The following is an 18707-nucleotide window of genomic DNA, read 5'->3' on the forward strand; positions in this document are numbered from 1 at the left end:
GAGGATGTGGAGAAATTGAAACTGTTATAAAATGGTGCTGCCACTGTGGAAAACAGTGCGTAGGCTCCTCAAAAAATTTGAAATAGAACTACAATATGATCCAGCAATCCCACTTCTGGGTATACAGTCTCGTGCCACATAACGTTTCAGTCAATTATGGACCATATGTGATAGTGAGCCCATAAGATTATAATAACGTATTTTTACTGTACCTTTTCTCTGGGCACACAAATAGTTTCCATTGTGTCACAGTTGCCTATGGTATTCAGTACGGTAACATACTATACAGGTGTATAGTGTAGAAGCAGTAGGTTATACCATATAGCCTAGGTGTATAGGACACTATGCCACCTCGGATTGTATAAGTACACTCGATGATGCACAACTTCAAATTACCTCATGATGCCTTTCTCAGAACATAACCCCATTCTTAAGCACTGCATGACTGGATGTCCAAAAGAACTGAAAGCAGCGTCTTTTTGTTTTGAGTTAGGGTCTCATTCTGTCACCCATGATGGAGTGCAGCATCACAGTCACAGCTCACGATAGCCTCCTGGGCTCAAGTGATCGTCCTGCCTCAGCTTCCTAAGTAGCTGGGACTACAGGTGCACACCGTCACACCCTGCTAATTTTTTCACTTTTATACAGATGGTGTCTCACTTTGTTGGCCAGGCTGGTCTTGAGCTCCTGCCCTCAAGCAGTCCTCCTACCTTGGCTTCCCAAAGTTCTGGGATTACAGGCATAAGCCACTGCTCCCAACCAGAAAGCAGAGTCTTGAAGACATATTTGCACACCCATGTTCATAACAGCATTCATAATAGCTGAGTGGTGGAAACAATCCTGCTGTCCATTGATGAACGGATAAACCAAATGTGGTGTATACATATAATGCAATATGTATACATTTCCTTCCTTAAAAAGGAAGGAAATACTGTTACTTGCTTTAACATAGATGAACCTTGAGGTCATTGTGCCAAGCACAGTAAGTCAGTCACAAAAGTATGATTTCTGTTATATGAGGTATCTAAAGTAGTCAAATTCATAGAAACAGAAAATAGAATTGATGTTTACTGGGATTTGAGGGGAAGGGGAAAAGGAGTTGTTTAATAGACATATGTTCAGTTTTGCAAAACAAAGTTACTGGAGATCTGTTTTTAACACTGTGCATATACTTTACACTGCTGAACTCTACACTCAGAATGGTTAACATGATAAATTTTATATGTTTGTTTTGGTTTTTTTGTTTTTTGTTTTTTTTTTTGAGATGAGAGTCTCGCTCTGTCACCCAGGCTCTGGAGTGCAGTGGTGCAATCTCGGCTCACTGCAAGCTCCGCCTCACGGGTTCATGCCATTCTCCTGCCTCAGCCTCCTGAGTAGCTGGGACTACAGGCGCTCACCACCACACCTGGCTAATTGTTTTGTATTTTTATTAGAGATGGGATTTCACCTTGTTGGCCACGCTGGTCTTGAACTTCTGTCCTCAAGTGATCCCCCCTGCCCCCCATCAGCTTCCCAAAGTGCTGGGATTACAGGCATGAGCCACTGTGCTCAGCCTAATTTTTTTTTTTTTTTTTTAATAGAGGCAGGATCTCCCTGTGTGCCCAGGCTGGTCTCAAATTTCTGGGCTGAAGCGATCCTCCCACCTTGGCCTCCAAAGTGCTGGAATTACAGGCGATTACCATTCCCAGCTAAAATTTTTTTTTTTTTTTCAAAGACAGATTCTTACTTTGTCGTTCAGGTTGGAGAGCAGTGACGCAATCACGACTCACTGAAGCCCAGACCTCCCTGGCTCAAGTGATCCTCCTGCCTCAGCCTCTCAAGTAGCTGGGACTACATGTGCGAGCTACCACACTCTGCTAATTTTTAAAATTTTCTTGGAGATATAGGGTCTTCCTGTGTTGCCCAGGCTATTCTCAAGGGATCCTCCCACCACTGTGCCCAGCCCAAAATCACTGTTTAACTTCATCTTATAGTTAAAGGAGTTCTGATGATGTTAGATTTTCCATTTTATGGAATAGCAACTAAACAGCTTCACCAGCATTCAATATTTAAATGATGTATGCACTTAGAGAAATTGGTGCACCCAAATGGAAGAAATTCCCATAAGGCTTTTTTTTGTTATTGTGTTTTGTTTTTTGTTTTTTGTTTTTGTTTTTTGTTTTTTTTTTGAGACGGAGCCTCGCTCTGTTGCCCAGTTTGGAGTGCAGTGGCGCGATCTCAGCTCACTGCAAGCTCCGCCTCCCTGAGGCATTCTCCTGCCTCAGCCTCCCGAGTAGCTGGGACCACAGGCGCCTGCCACCAGGCCTGGCTAATTTTTTGTATTTTTAGTAGAGACGGGGTTTCACCGTGTTAGCCAGGATGGTCTCGATCTCCTGACCTCGTGATCCGCCCGCCTCGGCCTCCCATTGTTTTTTGGTTTTTTTTGAGATGGAGTTTCACTCTCGTTGTCCAGGCTGGAGTGCAATGGCACAATCTCGGCTTACTGCAACATCCGCCTCCCGGGTTCAAGCTATTCTCCTGCCTCAGCCTCCTGAGTAGCTGGGATTACAGGCATGTGCTACCACACCCGGCTAGTTTTGTATTTTTAGTAGAGATGGGGTTTCTCCATGTTGGTCAGGCTGGTCTCAAACTCCCGACCTCAGGTGATCCGCCTGCCTCGGCCTCCCAAAGTGCTGGGATTACAGGCGTGAGCCACCGCGCCTGGCCTCCCATAAGTTTTTGTGGTAAGCTTGGGTTTTCCCTTTAATTCTAAAATGAGAGATATGATTATTATTTTAAAGTTAATAGTTGTGACACATGTACACTTAAAAAATCTAGAACTGTAGTCACAGAAATCTTATGGGTGCATATCAGAAAAACGAAACTAGTTACTTTAAAAGCATAAATTAGGCCAGGTGCAGTGACTCACACCTATAATCCCAGTACTTTGGGAGGCCGATGCTGGAGGATTGCTTCAGGCAAGGAGTTCAAGACCATATTGGGCAATATAGCAAGACCCTTGTCTCTACAAAAACATACAAAAAAAAAATTAGTTGGGCATGGTAGTGCAGGCCTGTGGTCCCAGCTACTCAGGAGAGTGAAGTGAGGGATCACTTGAGCCCAGGAGTTTGAGGTTGCAGTGAGCTGTGACCATGCCACTGCACTCCAGCCTGGGCGAGAGAGTGAGACTTTATCTCAAAGAAATAAATAAAGCACAGGCTGGGTGTGGTGGCTCAAACCTGTAATCCTGGAGGCTTCCCAGGCTAGTGCCTGAGCCCCACATCCCTCGCCCCCCATCCTCCCCGCATCCCACTCCTCCCTCACACCTGGCCCTGTGGCTCTTCCTCCTTCCCTTCCCCCGCCAAAAAAAAAAAATCTGTAATCCTAGCACTTGGGACGCCAAGGCAAGCAGACCACCTGAGCCCAGAAGTTCGAGATCAGCCTGGACAACATGGCGAAACCCCATGTTTACCCCCACCAAAAAAAAACAAAGTTAGCCAGGTATGGTGGCGTATGCCTGTAGTTCCAGCTACTCTGGAGGAAGAGGTAAGAGGATGGCTTCAGCCCAGGAGGCGGAGGCTGCAGTGAGCCACTATGTCCAGCTCAGTTGTCTTATATCACAAATACATTTCCTTTTTTTAAGGTGAATATCCCTTTATTCAGTTAAGTTTTATAAAACAGCCATTGTAGGCCAGGCACAGTGGCTCACGCCTATAATCCCAGCATTTTGGGAGGCCAGGGTGGGAGGATCATTTGAGGAATGGAGTTCGAGACCAACCTGGCCAACATGGTGAAACCTGGCCTCTACTAAAAAAAAAATACAGAAATTAGCTGGGTGTGGTGGAGGGTGCCTGCAGTCCTAGCTACTCAGGAGGCTGAGGCAGGAGAATCACTTGAACCTGGAGGTGGAGATTGCAGTGAGCCAAGATTGCACCACTGCACTGCAGCCTGGGAGACAGAGTGATACTCAGTCTGAAATTTAAAAAAAAAAAAAAAAAAAACACCAAAGTAGCCATTATAGTTTGGGCCAGCAAAAGTCTCATGGTTCACTCATTACAGTATAGTCCCTGGACTGATAGCTATTTATCTACATAGTGTGTTTTGAAGATACTATTGTAGAATTCAGCAATTAATATAAACTGTGTCTTGATCTGACTCACTGTCTTGTATTATCTTCTGTAGGGGCACACTGAGTTGCCTGAAAGCAAGAAATCTTAAATTATGTCATTTTCATTGAAACTTGAGCTTTGGAATTATTGCATATTAGTGATAAAAGTAACAGATCTCAAGAATGTGCCCTCTAGGGGGCCAGATGTTTTAAGCATTTGCTCTTTCTGTGTAAGATTTCACAAGACTTTCAGACTGTCCTCATTTTGATAATATTAATATGGCCATAAGCTTGAACTTGCATAAGTCCTATGAGAAAGTTTGGATCATAAATAAATTTAATATATCATAATTTCCCTTTGTGATATAAACGACTATTGTTACTTGTTTTGCTATAGATGTATAAAAAAATAACTAAGGCAATAAAAACTTAGAACCAGGCCAGGCACGGTGGCTCACGCCTGTAATCCCAGCACCTTAGGAGGCCGAGGCAGGTGGATCACCTGAGATCGAGAGTTCAAGACCAGCCTGAGCAACATGGAGAAACCCCGTCTCTACTAAAAATACAAAATTAGCCTGGCATGGTGGTCCATGCCTATAATCCCAACTAATCAGGAGGCTGAGGCAAGAGAATCGCTTGAACCCGGGAGGTGGAAGTTGTGGTGAGCCGAGATCATGCCATTGCACTCCAGCCTGCCTGGGCAACAAGAGTGAAACTCTTATCTCAAAAAAAATTAGAACCAATGTAAGATCACTTTACAGAGTCATTGTTACCACCTCACCACTGTACAAGTTCTTTCTCTTTATTTTCTATTTTCATAAAAAATACTATGCTGCTGGATCTTCGTGGTTTATTAACTGAACTGTTTAAAATGAAATAAACAATACATAATGATAACAGCTTTACTTAGATATAATACATATAACATACAATTCACCCATTTGAAGTATACAATTCAGTGTGTTTCATTGCCCCATAAAGAAGCCTAGTACCCATTAGCAATCACTGTTTTCTTCCAATCCCTCCTCCAGGCCTATGCAACTGTCAGTCTTTTCTCTATCTCTGGCTTTTTGTATTCTGAACATTTTGTACAAATAGAACCATAAAATGTGTGGTTTTTATGAGTAGATTCTTTTAGTTGGCATGTTTTCAAGGATTTTCTATGATCATGTATTATCACTTCATTTCTATTTCAGATATTTCATTGTATAAATGTAACACTTTATTTTTCCATTTGTCAGTTGGTTAGCATTTTTCTTATGCTTTTGGGCTATTATGAATAATGTGGGGACATATGCTCTACTCTAGATTTAGAGTGTGCCCTTGGTTTTTTTTAATTTATTTTTATTTTCTTGAGACCAAGTCTTGGTCTGTCATGCCCAGGCTGGAGTGTAGTGGTGTGATTTTGGCTCACTGCAACCTCTGCCTCATAGGTTCAAGTGATTCTCCCACCTCAGCCTCCCAAGTAGCTGGGATTACAGGCACTCGCCACCACACCCGGCTAAATTTTTGTATTTTTAGTAGAGACAGGGTTTCATCATATTGGCCAGGCTGGTCTTGAGCTCCCAACCTCAGGTGATCTGCCCACCTCAGCCTCCCAAAGTGCTGACATTACAGGCATGAGCCACCGTGTGCAGCCTAACAAGGTTTTTGGTTTTTTGTGTGTGTGACAGAGTCTCACTCTGTTTCTCAGGCTGGAGTGCAGTGGCTCAATTTCAGCTAACTGCATAGAATGTGTCCTTGTTTTAAAACATTAGATCTTTATGTTATAATTTTATTTTCAAATAGCAATTTTCATTGCCTGAAGATAATCGGATAGTTATCAAACTTTGCTAATAACTTCCTTGGTTCTAAAGAAGAGAGATTGATGGTTCTAAAGAAAAAAGATTTACTGAGTTTTTAATACAAAGCGAACTGTGGCCGGGCGCCATGGCTCACGCCTGTAATCCCAGCACTTTGGGAGGCTGAGGCGGGCGGATTACTTGAGGTCAGGAGTTCGAGACCAGCCTGACCAACATGGGGGAAACCCTATCTCTACTAAAATAGAAAAATTAGCTGGGCGTGGTGGTGTGTGCCTGTAATCCCAGCTACTTGGGAGGCTGAAGCAGGAGAATCACTTGAACCCAGGAGGTGGAGGTTGCAGTGAGTTGAGATCGCTCCACTGCACTCCAGCCTGGGCAACAGAGTGAGACTCTGTCTCAAAAAAATAGAAATAAATAAAGTGAACTGTTACATTAATTATATTTGAATTATTTTCTATCAAATAGATACTTGGTGCTTGAAAAACTGAAGAAGGAAGACGCTGACCGAATTCATATATTCAGTTCTTTTTTCTATAAACGCCTTAATCAGAGAGAGAGGAGAAATCATGAAACAACTAATCTGTCGTAAGTCAAACTCTGAAAATATTTAACAGATGTAAGTCACTCACATTTAACTAAGTGAAAAATCACGTACTTGAAAGAAAACACAAATCTCTGCAGTTCTCTTGCTTACTTTTTAAATTCTCCAGCCAGGAAGAGAACACACTAAATAAATCAGTTCCATTTTCATTCTTCATGGGTTCATATTCACCTTCCTTAAACTAACTTTGTGCTAGTTTTGGAATTTTTTTTAACAACTTATTTATATTGAGGCAATATCATTTAGTTCTCTTATCAGTTTACAAAATTAATATAATTCATAATATTCTAATACTTTCAGAATACCTGGAATTTATAAATGTTCTGGGTCAAATATCTAGAATAGTGTTTCCCAAATGTGACTAGTAGGTTTTTTTAAAATTACTTAGATACTTACTAACTACAGATTACTCTGTTTTATCCTAGATGTTCATCCATAATATCTAAGAAAGGAACCTGTGAATCTATACTCTTAATAAGCTCTTTGGGTGATTCTTCTCAGACAAATTAAGGAAATACTATTGTACATAGTAGGCCTGATTTGTTTTCTTTTTTTCAAGACAGGGTCTCACTCTGTCACCCAGGCTGGAGGGCATTGGTGTGATCTTGTCTCACCACAACCTCTACCTCCCACTCTCAAGTGATCCTTCCACCTCAGCCTCCCAAGTAGCTGGGACTAAGGCACACGCCACTCCACCCAGCTAATTTTTGTATTTTTTGTGGAGACAGGGTTTCACCATGTTTCCCAGGCTGGTTTCAAACTCCTGGGCTCAAGGAATCTGCTCACCTCTGCCTCCCCAAAGTACTGGGATTTCAGGTGTGAGCCACCATGCCCCACCTTTTTCTTTATAATTCCTCTCCAATAGTGATGGCATCTAGCTCTGATAATTTGCTGGTAATTGATCAAAAGATACACTTAAGAATTGGTACTTTTAAAATTTAAAACTAGTGTTAGATGTCTTGAATTGATGGCTGCTATGCATAATAAATAATTAATAATAATAATATATTCTCTTATTTCAGCAATTCCTAATGTTGCATCTTAGAGGTGATAACAGTCATTGGTTTTGACCAGTGCTCATGGCTATATTGCTTCATCTACCATCAGATAATGCTCACTTTTCCTACTGTCTTCTCCCCAGTTACCCTAAGTCGTGCTTGGCTACACCTCTCAATATAGTTGCCAGGACCAATTCTGCAGTAATAAAAATAGTAAAGAGAAGTCTAGGCAAGATAAGCACTAGAACTTCCACCCCTCAGATGGAGTAACAGGAGTAAAATATCTTTCTCCAAATTCAACAATGGGTAGTCCCATGCCTTCCTAGTTTCCATCCAACAAGTTCTATTTTCTTTCCCCAGTTTGTCAAACCATTTTATGCAACTGTTTGAGCTATTACATCTGAATCTTCTTAATTTATAAATCACTACATATAAGCTGGAGCACTAGAAATATTTCAGAAGCTTATAATTTATCTCTTTCTTACAGAATACAGCAAAAACGGCATGGGAGAGTAAAAACATGGACCCGGCACGTAGATATTTTTGAGAAGGATTTTATTTTTGTACCCCTTAATGAAGCGTGAGTAAGAATTTCCTTTAAAGGAAAATCTTTAAATCATGTAAATGATGGCAATTTTTAAATAATGAGTATGAGGTGAAGAATTCATTTTAAAACATCTTTCTGAAATCTCTTGTGTATATTCATATTTGTACTGCCTGTTTTACAAGAATTAATGCAGTTTCACAGTGAAGCATGTAAGATATTGAATTTTAGAGACAATAGACCAGATACCTTTCTAATCTCATTTTATTCATTAATGTCAAATAATACCATTTTTAAAAATATGGTGCTTATTGTCTAGCAAGTAACCTATAGAAAAGTATTATTTTATACAAAAAGATGATTAGGTCACATAAAGGAATTGGAATCTTAAGTTTAAAATACACTTCTGTTTTTAGCCAGAAAGGAGAAACGATGGTTGGATTTATGCCATTTTTCAATTAAAAACCATGTGGACTACTTGAAGCAGTTTCTGAGTAAATGGAGGTGTTTAAAGATTTGTATTATTCTCTCCCAATGACTAGATAGTAGTATTTTACAATGGAGACTTAAAAGTTTTTTGTGTTTTATTCTTTCGCTTTTCTATGCCCTCAATCCAAAGAACACCAGAAATACACTTGTAGTCGGAAAACTTGGGTTTATCACTTGCATCAAGGAATGACACACACCATGGGCCACTCTGGAGCCTCTCAATAAAAGGATGTTTCAAAGAACCTGTGACAGAATCTGGGCTTTCCTTGAGTGATATGGGGGAGGGTCTAAAGTAGTGGTTTGCCTAGGTAAAGAAGTAGCATTCACTCATTAATAAAGAAGAAGAATGTTGGCTATTTTGTGGTTTCCAACTGTGACCTTATGTTTTTCTCTGCTTAGACAAATTATGATATGGCCCTACTTTGTCTCATTCTATCATGGTTGCAGAATATGCTTTCCTGGAGTTGGTATTCTATGAGATTGTTTATGTCTAATAAGCCTAGCTGTGCCAAGCTAGCTTCTGAATTTTTTTTTTTTAACTTTTGTAGAGGTGAGGGTCTCACTGTGTTGCTCAGGCTGGTCTTGAACTCTTGGCCTCAAGCCATCCCCCAACCTCAGCCTCCCAAGTAGCTGGGATTATAGACATGAGCCACTGCTCCTAGCAAAGCTATATATTTTTAAATTCATATTATCATAGTAAAATTTAAAATAACATTTAAAACTAGTTAATTTCTTCATTCTCTTCAAAATAAGGTTTTGGCTGGGCGTGGTGGCTCACGCCTGTAATCCCAACACTTTGAGAGGCTGAGGTGGGCGGATTACTTGAGGTCAGGGGTTCAAGACCAACCTGGCGAACATGGCGAAACCTCGTCTCTACTGAAAATACAAAAATTAGCTGGGCGTGGTGGTGCGTGCCTGTAATCCCAGCTACTCAGGAGGCTGAGGCAGGAGGATCGCCTGAACCCGGGAGGCAGAGGTTGCAGTGAGCCAAGATCATGCCCCTGCACTCCAGCCTGGGCAGCAGAGTGAGACTCCATCTCAAAAAAAAAAAAAGGAAAAGAAAAAAAAAGACAGAAAAGAAGGTTTCTTGACTGGGTACTAATTTGTCTTGTAAAGTAACATGTGAACAGCTTACTAGGTGAAAGGGAGGAAAGCGATTTGTCAGAAATGAGTTATAAAAATTTTAAATAGAAATATTATTTGATTATACACGATTTAGGAATAGAGGCGCATCCCTCTTAGTCACTATACCTCTGCATGGAAGTTATTATCAGTGCTTCCAGTCATCTTAGTGAGAGGTAGAAAATGAACTCTGTAAGAGAGCTCTACCATTTGTAGATTAAAAAATAGCCTATAAATCAAGAGAGCTTGTTTTTGTTTTTGCTTTTTTTTTTTTTTTTTTTTGAAGAGACAAAGCTACAAATACTTATACACTAATTATGTTAGATTGGCTGCCATATATTTGTCATCTGTTTTGTTTTTATTTTTTCTGGTAGTACCAGTTTTGTTTTTCTTTTCTTTCTTTCTTTTTTCTCGAGATAGGGTCTCTGTCTGTCACTCAGGCTGGAATGTAGTAGCATGATGTCGGCTTACTGCAGCCTCAACCTCCCAGGCTTAAGTGATCCTCCGACCTCAGCCTCCTGAGTAGCTGGGACTATAGGTGCATGCTACCACGCCCAGCTAATTTTTGTATTTTTTTTTAGAGGATGGGGTTTTGCCATGCTGCCCAGTCTGGTCTCAAACTCCAGAGCCGAAGCGGTCCACCTGCCGTAGCCTCTCAAAGTGCTGGGATTACAGGCATGTGCCACTGTACCTGGCCCTAATTTTTTTCTGAAGTTTCTAAGCTGTTTATTAAAAATTGTTATAGTAATTTCCAGAAACACAAATTTGATGTGTGGATCTAATCTATCTTAAGTGAAATTGCCTAGGTATTTTCTTTTGTTTTGTTTTGTTTTTTAGAGACAGAGTCTCATTCTGTTGCCCAAGCTGGAGTACAGTGGTGCAATCATAGCTCACTGAAGCTTCAAACTCCTAGGCTTAAGCAATCCTCCTGCCTCAGCCTCCTGAGTAGCTAGAACTACAGGCGCATGCCACAGGCCCAGCTAATTTTTTAAAATTTTTTTGGAGATGGGGTCTAGCTGTGTTGCCCAGACTGGTCTCAAACTTCTGGCCTCAAGCAGTTCCCCCACCTCAGCCTCCCATAGCACCAGGATTACAGGCATGAGCCACTGCGCCTGGCCAAAAGTCTGTGTAACCCTCTCTCTTGCTGTTAAAGTTAACGTAGCTGTTATTAAAAGGAATCATAAAAGCAAAACCCTGGCTTAATGGAAGTAATTGTTGGAAGTAATTGTCTGATTCAGCTTTCTCTTCTTAGGCCAAAAAGGATTTTTCCTAGTTTTTAGGTGAGGATATTTGTAGCTTAGCCACATTGGCATAGCTAAGAAATATTAAGAACTGTGATAGGCTTTATTACAGCTGTAGGTTGAGAGTCACTGTATTATACTATATTTCATCAATTTTATTTTATTTATTTTGAGATGGGGTCTCACTCTGTCGCCCAGACTGGAGTGCAGTGGCACCATCTCGGCTCACTGCAATCTCCGCCTCCCAGGCTCAAGCTATCCTCCCACCTCAGCCTCCAACCCCAGTAGCTTGGACCACAGGCACGTGCCATCACACCCAGCTAATATTTTGTGTTTTTGGTAGAGACGGGGTTTTGCCACGTTGCCCAGGCCAGTCTCCAACTCCTGAGCTCAAGCGATATGCCTGCCTCAACCTCCCAAAGTGTTGGGATTACAGGTGTGAGCCACCGTGCCCGGCATCATCAATTTTTAAAACACATTTTTTTCACATTGCAACATGTCTAAAGTTGAGATGTGACTTTATAAATAAAATAAAATTAGCTATGTGTTAGAAGTGATGAAATGAGGAGGTTGGTGTGTTAGCCTGATCTAAATCCATAGGGTACTAAGGAATAATAATGAAGAACAGGAGAGAAGCAAGCTTTCATCCATCTGGACTTCGCAATACAGAAGATGAAGCCAGCCAGCCTATGACAGCCATTTCTACTGGATGCTGTTTGATGAAGAGATAGATAGTGCTGTTTCTTAGTACTAACTTGGGTACTCTAATATTCTACAAAAATGAGAAAGTGGAATAATTTTTATCCATGGCAAGATAACTTGTTTTTCATCCAGCAAATATTTATTGAACACCCTACCATAGGACAAATATTATTGTGCTTGACCAATAAGCTCCCTGACATCTATAGCCTGTTCCTTGTATCCCAGCACAGCCCTGTGTCTAGCAAAAAATGAATATTAGCCAGGACTGTACAGCTTCTTGCTTGTGTCCTATACTCTACTGTTGGGAACAGTGATACCTGAATTCAGCTGTATCATAAGCACCTACTTGATAGCTGGAACTCTCTACTAATACTTAAATTTTTGTGCAAGGACTAGGTTAGATATGTTATTTCTTTTTAATGTATTAAATTTCAATATAGCATGAGATAAAACATTACTTATATACATATTTTTGATATTAAGCCTTTCCTATCTTAATAACACACAGTAACAGTAAAAAGAACAAAACTATATATGCAATTCTTAGAATGTTGAAAAAATCATATGACCTAATTAGACTGCTGAAGACAGTTTAATCTTTTTTTTTTTTTTTTTTTTTTTGGAGACGGAGTCTCGCTCTGTCGCCCAGGGTGGAGTGCAGTGGCACAATCTCAGCTCACTGCAACCTCCGCCTCCCGGGTTCAAGCAATTCTCCTGCCTCAGCCTCCCAAGTAGCTGGGACTACAGGCGCACACTACCACGCCCAGCTAATTTTCTGTATTTTAGTAGAGACGGGGTTTCACTGTGTTGCCCAGGCTGTTCTCGAACTCCTGAACTCAGGCAATCCACCCGCCTCGGCCTCCCAAAGTGCTAGGATTACAGGCGTGAGCCACCGCACCTGGCCGACAGTTTAATCTTTAAGATGGATAGCTTTCCATCTTTTTACATAAAGAGAAGGCAAAGGGGAATGACGAGTTGCAAAGTGACATTACTTGCCAGAAAAAGCAATGAATTTTTCATTCCAAAAACAAGAAAGCGTTCAGGGATTGTTTGCAAAAGTAAATACAGGCTACATAATTTTAATACAAACTGTGTTATTTTTGAATAGACATTGTGTTCTGTTACTGAATCAGTGATTACATAAAACAAGCAGATTAATTTGAGAACTAAAAAAAAAATAGGCTTTTTTTTTTTTTTTGAGATGGAGTCTTGCTTTGTCACCCCCAAGCTGGAATGCTGTGGCACAATCTCGGCTCACTGCAACCTCTGCCTCTTGGGTTCAAGTGATTCTCCTGCCTCAGCCTACTGAGTAGCTGGGATTACGGGTGCACACCACTGCGCCTGGCTAATTTTTGTATTTTTAGTAGAGACAGGGTTTTGCCATGTTGGCTAGGCTGGTCTCGAACTGCTGACCTCAGGTGATCCACCCACCTCAGCCTCCCAAAGTGCTGGGATTACTGGCGTGAGCTACTGCGCCCGGCCAGAATTAGGCATTTTTAATAAATTAATTGGCAAGAACTTTAGAAAAAAACATTTTAATTGATATGTATTGCCAAATATAATAAACTTTTCTAATAACATATTTAGTCATTTCATTTGTTTTTTACAGTGCACACTGGTTTTTGGCTGTTGTTTGTTTCCCCGGTTTGGAAAAACCAAAGTATGAACCTAATCCTCATTACCATGAAAATGCTGTCATACAGAAATGTTCAACTGTAGAGGACAGTTGTATTTCTTCTTCAGCCAGTGAAATGGAGAGTTGTTCACAAAACTCTTCTGCCAAGCCTGTAATTAAGAAGATGCTAAACAAAAAACATTGCATAGCTGTAATTGATTCCAATCCTGGGCAGGAAGAAAGTGACCCTCGTTATAAGAGAAACATATGCAGTGTAAAATACAGTGTGAAAAAAATAAATCATACTGCGAGTGAAAATGAAGAATTCAATAAAGGAGAATCTACATCCCAGAAAGTTGCTGATAGGACTAAAAGTGAGAATGGCCTACAGAATGAAAGTTTAAGTTCCACACATCATACAGGTATGTATCTAAATGTTTTGAAAGAATGAAAAAATTCAGAATAATCTGGATTTTTTAATAAACAGGATTAAGATCCTGTTTTAAAAAAAAATCAGGTTAATGACTGGGTGTGGTGGCTCACGCTTATAATCCCAGCACTTTGGGAGGCCAAGGCAGGAGGATCACTTGAGGCCAGGAGTTTGAGACCAGCGTGGGCAACATAGCGAGACCCAATCTCCAACAAAAAAAAATAAATAGAAAATTTTTAAAGAATTTACTTATAACAATATAGTAACACAACTTACTTTTAATTTATACTGAGGTATAATTATAATAGCATTCACTCATTTAATGAGTGTAGCTTGAACTTTGATAAATGTATACATAGAGTCATGTAATCACTACTGCAATCAAAATTGAGAACCTGATCAGGGCACAGTGGCTCACGACTGTAATCCTAGCACTTTGAGAGGCCAAGATGGGCAGATCACTTGAGCTCAGAAGTTTGAAACCAGCCTGGGCAACATGGTAAAGCCCTGTCTCTACCAAAAATACAAAAACTTAGCCAGATATGGTGGTGCCCATCGGTGGTCCCAGCTACTTAGGAGGTTGAGGAGGGAGGATCGCTTGAGCTCAGGGTGCTGAAGTTGCAGTGAGTGGAGATCGCACCACTGCAGTCCAGCCTGGGTGACAGAGTGAAACTCCATCTCAAAATTAAAAAACAAAAAAATTGAGAACTTTCCATCACTCAAAAAAAAATCCCATTGTGCCCTTTTTGTAGTCTGTCACTTCTGTCACCCCTAGGGTGCAATTTTGAAATTGCAGTACAAAGTTTATATTTTCCATTTATTGGAACTTGGATCTATTTTTATTTCATAGGAAATTTACAGTATTCAGCATTAACAGTAGTTGTGCAGTCTTAGATGTATAAGACAAATTAGATCTCAATTTACACATTGGTAAATTGAGATCAAATAACCCAAGGCAGAAATTAAAGCTTTCTCTTCAAAATAGTTGTGAACAGTCCTGAAGGGGTGGCCTGCCCTTCCACACCTGTAGGTATGTCTCGTCAGGTGGGACGAGAGACTGAGAAAGAAATAAGACACAGAGACAAAGTATAGAGAAAGAACAGTGGGCCCAGGAGAACGGCACTCAGCATATCAAGGACCTGCCCCGTCACCGGTCTTTGAGTTCTCTCTGTTTTGGTTGATTACTATTTTCACTATCTCAGCAAGAGGAATGCCGTAGGAGAGCAAGGTGATAATAGGGAGAAGATCAGCAAGAAAACATGTGAGCAAAGGAATCTGTGTCACAATTAAGTTCAAGTGGAGGTACTATGCCTGGATGTGCACGTAGGCCAGATTTATGTTTCTCTCCACCCAAACATCTCAGTGGAGTAAAGAATAACAAAGGAGCATTGCTGCCAACATGTCTCGCCTCCTGCCATAGGGCGGTTTTTCTCCTATCTCAGAATTGAACAAATGTACAATCGGGTTTTATACTGAGACATTCAGTTCCCAGGAGCAGGCAGGAGACAGTGGCCTTCCTCTATCTCAACTGCAAGAGGCTTTCCTCTTTCACTAATCCTTCTCAGCACAGACCCTTCACGGGTGTTGGGCTGGGGGACGGTCAGGTCCTTCCCGTCCCACGAGGCCATATTTCAGACTATCACATGGGGAGAAACCTTGGACAATACCCAGCTTTCCAGGGCAGAGGTCCCTGCGGCTTTCTGCAGCGCATTGTGCCCCTGGTTTATCGAGACTAGAGAATGGTGATGACTTTTACCGAGCATACTGCTTGTAAACATTTTGTTAACAAAGCACATCCTGCACAGCCCTAGATCCCTTAAACCTTGATTCCATACAACACATGTTTTTGTGAGCTCAAGTTTGGGGCAAAGAGGTTAGGGCAAAGTGGTTGGGGCAAAGTTACAGCATCTCAGGGCAAAGCAATTGTTCAGGGTACAGGCCAAAATGGAGTTTCTTATGTCTTCCCTTTCTACATAGACACAGTAACAGTCTGATCTCTCTTTCTTTTCCCTATACATTCCAATTAAAGCTTGGTTCTTCATTCCTCACTCTCCTTCACTGTTTTCAGTGGGAAGAGGAGCACTGGTCCAATCTTTGTTTGTTTAAATCTCTCTTCAGCTCTAATAACTTGATTTTTGTCCTTGAGTCAGTCCTGTAGTTGTAGAACCTGTTAAATCTAGTTTTGGCCAGGTGTGGTGGCTCACGCCTGTAATCCCAGCACTTTGGGAGGCTGAGGCGGGTGGATCAGTAGGTCAGGAGTTTGAGACCAGCCTGACCAACGTGGTAAAACCCCATCTCTACTAAAAATACAAAAATTAGCTGGGTGTGGTGGTGCCCGCCTGTAATCCTAGCTACTCAGGAGGCTGAGGCAGGAGAATCACTTGAACCTGGGGGCGGAGGTTGCAGTGAGCTGGGATCGCGCAACTGCACTTCAGTCTGGGCAACAGAGCGAGACTCCATCTCAAAAATAAATAAATAAATTAATTAATTAATTAAAAACTAGTTTCTGTTCAAATTCTTAAATTTGATATCAAGTCAATTGTATAATTTCCTCTCCAACCTACAAGTAAAATAATCCTCTCCATAAAAACCCATAACATGCTATAGTGTGTGCCTTGCAAACTTCTTAAACTGTGAATAGATCTAATACATTTTTCTTCTTTTTTTTTAACACCTTGCTCATGGAACTAATGAATCTTATTTGGATGAAAAATATTGGTATAGGACATAGAATAAATTATGTGAATTCAGAAAGAACCTATCAAAAATTGTGAATATGGAACATACTCCTGTTACTTATACCAGCTTATATTATTTTAGTGAGTTAGAAAGCTATTTTTGAGCCTTTTTTTTTTTTTTTTTTTTTTTTTTTTTGAGATGGAGTCTCTCTTAATCACCCAGGCTGGAGTGCAGTGGCGTAATCTTGTCTCACTGCAACCTCCCCCTCCTGGGTTCAAGAGATTGTCTTCTCTTGCCTCAGCCTCCCTAGTAGCTGGGATTACGGGTGCGCACCACCTCACCCGACCTGTTGAGCTCTTGTAAGAAATCTCCTGAGCAGGAAAATCTGGAGTAGATTAGTGGCTGCTCGGGGCTTTTGGGGGTGGGCAGGTGAGGTGGGTGGGAATGTAGGAAGAGAGTGATAGCTAAGTGGTATGGGGTTTCTTTTTGAGATGATGAAAAGGTTTAAAAATTGGTTGTGATGATGGCTGTGCATATACTAAAAAACATTAGACTGTATGCTTTAAATGGCTGTATATGGTATGTGAATTACATTTCAGTGTGGCTTTTTAAAGTCTCCTTTTGACCAATAATGTTACATACTTTAATGTGAATTCAAATGAATTAAGGTACTTGACTTAAAGCAATGGGACAAAAGCCTAGGGTTTCATATACACAAACTCCAGAGATTTCTAGTGCCCTCACCTACAAATTAATTTTCTGGTCAAGTAAAAGCCAGTTAAATTTGAGTAAATAGCCTCAAAAATCCTAATGGAGACCAAAGCCAAAAATAACTTGTTTTATGTAGTTTGCCTTCTTAATACTTGTATATCCCATTTACTCATTTTTGAATTATAGTTTGTACATTTTTGTTTTGTTTTTAGTATGTGTATACCATATCAACTATCTCTTCCTCTGAAACAAATGTTTCACAAAAAATCACATACAGTGATTTCACATAGAGTCAACAAGTGTTGACTACTTATGTCAGATAACAGGCTGTAGTAAATAAGTGGAAATTAGGTTTTTACAGAAAACTAGGGAAATAACAATGTGTGGAATCACTACTTTCACTTGCTGTTTTTTCACTTGACACCTTATGAAATAGTTGACTTGCCATGGTGCATGAAAAATGTGTACGCTTAAACTCTAGAATCACACTCAACATCTTCACATGGTCTCCTTATATGAGAAGTTCTCAGGAACTGACACTGATTGAGAGAACCACTGATCAAGTCATCACCTCTCAATTTACTCCAGATCACTTGTTTATGGGGGAATTGACTGCATCATTTAGGTTATTTTTCTCCTGTTTTTGAAAGGCATTTCTGGTTTAGTTTGTGTAAGGTAGATAGATATTTATATGACCACAGTTTACATAGATAATGATTTGCTGCTGGAAGTAACCTGATTATAACTGACTAATTCTGAATTACCTGAAGATTTTGGACAAATGTTATTCAAATATAGGTGTTTTAGCTTTAAACAGACTTAAAAATACAGATTTTTGGAAAAGATAAATTGAAGAGGTCATTATTTTTTTCTTTCTTCTTCTTCTTTTTTTTTTTTTTTTTTTTTTTTTTGAGACAGGGTCTCACTCTGTTGCCCAGGCTGGAATGCAGTGGCACAATCACAGCTCACTGAAGCCGCTACCTCCTGGACTCAAGCAGTCCTCCCAGCTCAACCCCCTGAGTAGCTGGGACTATAGGCATGTGTCACCTGCCCGGCAAAATTTATTTTCTGTAGAGACGGGCTCACTTTGTTGCCCAGGCTGGTCTCAAACTTCTGTGTTCAAGCAATCCTCCCATCTCAGCCTCCCAGAGTGTTGGGATTACAGATGTGAGCCACTGCGCTCAGCCCATAGTGCTTTTTTGTTGTTGTGGTGGTGGATTTTTGTTCTTTTTTGAGACAGTCTCACTTTCATAGAAGTTAAGAGTACAGCAATACAATCACAGTTCACCGCAGTCTCAACCTCCCAGGCTCAAGTGATCCTCCCACCTCAGCTTCCTGAGTAACTGGGACCACAGGTGCCCACCACTACACCTGGCTGATTCTTTATTTTATTTTGTTTGTAGAGACAGGGTCTCACTATGTTGCCCAGGTGATCCTTCTGAACTCAGGTGATCCTCCTGCCTCAGCCTCCCAAAGTGCTAGAGGATTACAGGTGCTAGGCCACTGTGCCCGGCCCCATAGTGCTTCATTGGTTTATCGGTTATTTTAAATAGTGTGCTTCTGAACACAAGAGTTAGATTTATGTATCTTTTCTCTTCTCCTTTTTTGAGACAGAGTCTTGCTCTATCACCCAGGTCGGAGTACAGTGGCGCAGTCTTGGCTTACTGCAACCTCTGTTGCCTGGGT

At 40.8% G+C, this 18707-nt stretch overlaps 1 protein-coding gene across 2 annotated transcripts in view; it reads left to right on the plus strand.

Annotated features, from left to right (window-relative positions):
- The window catches only part of SENP6 (SUMO specific peptidase 6), a 116402-nt gene that overhangs the window by 87570 nt on the left and 10125 nt on the right, over positions 1-18707 (plus strand). For both annotated transcript variants that reach the window (NM_015571.4, NM_001100409.3), the window contains 3 exons: positions 6355-6474; positions 7976-8068; positions 13196-13623. In NM_015571.4, coding sequence (NP_056386.2) covers positions 6355-6474; positions 7976-8068; positions 13196-13623 — 641 coding nt within the window. The remainder of the gene's footprint in view (positions 1-6354; positions 6475-7975; positions 8069-13195; positions 13624-18707) is intronic.

Source organism: Homo sapiens, chromosome 6 (genome assembly GCF_000001405.40).
Source record: "Homo sapiens chromosome 6, GRCh38.p14 Primary Assembly".
In the NCBI taxonomy this organism is placed as follows: Eukaryota; Metazoa; Chordata; class Mammalia; order Primates; family Hominidae; genus Homo; species Homo sapiens.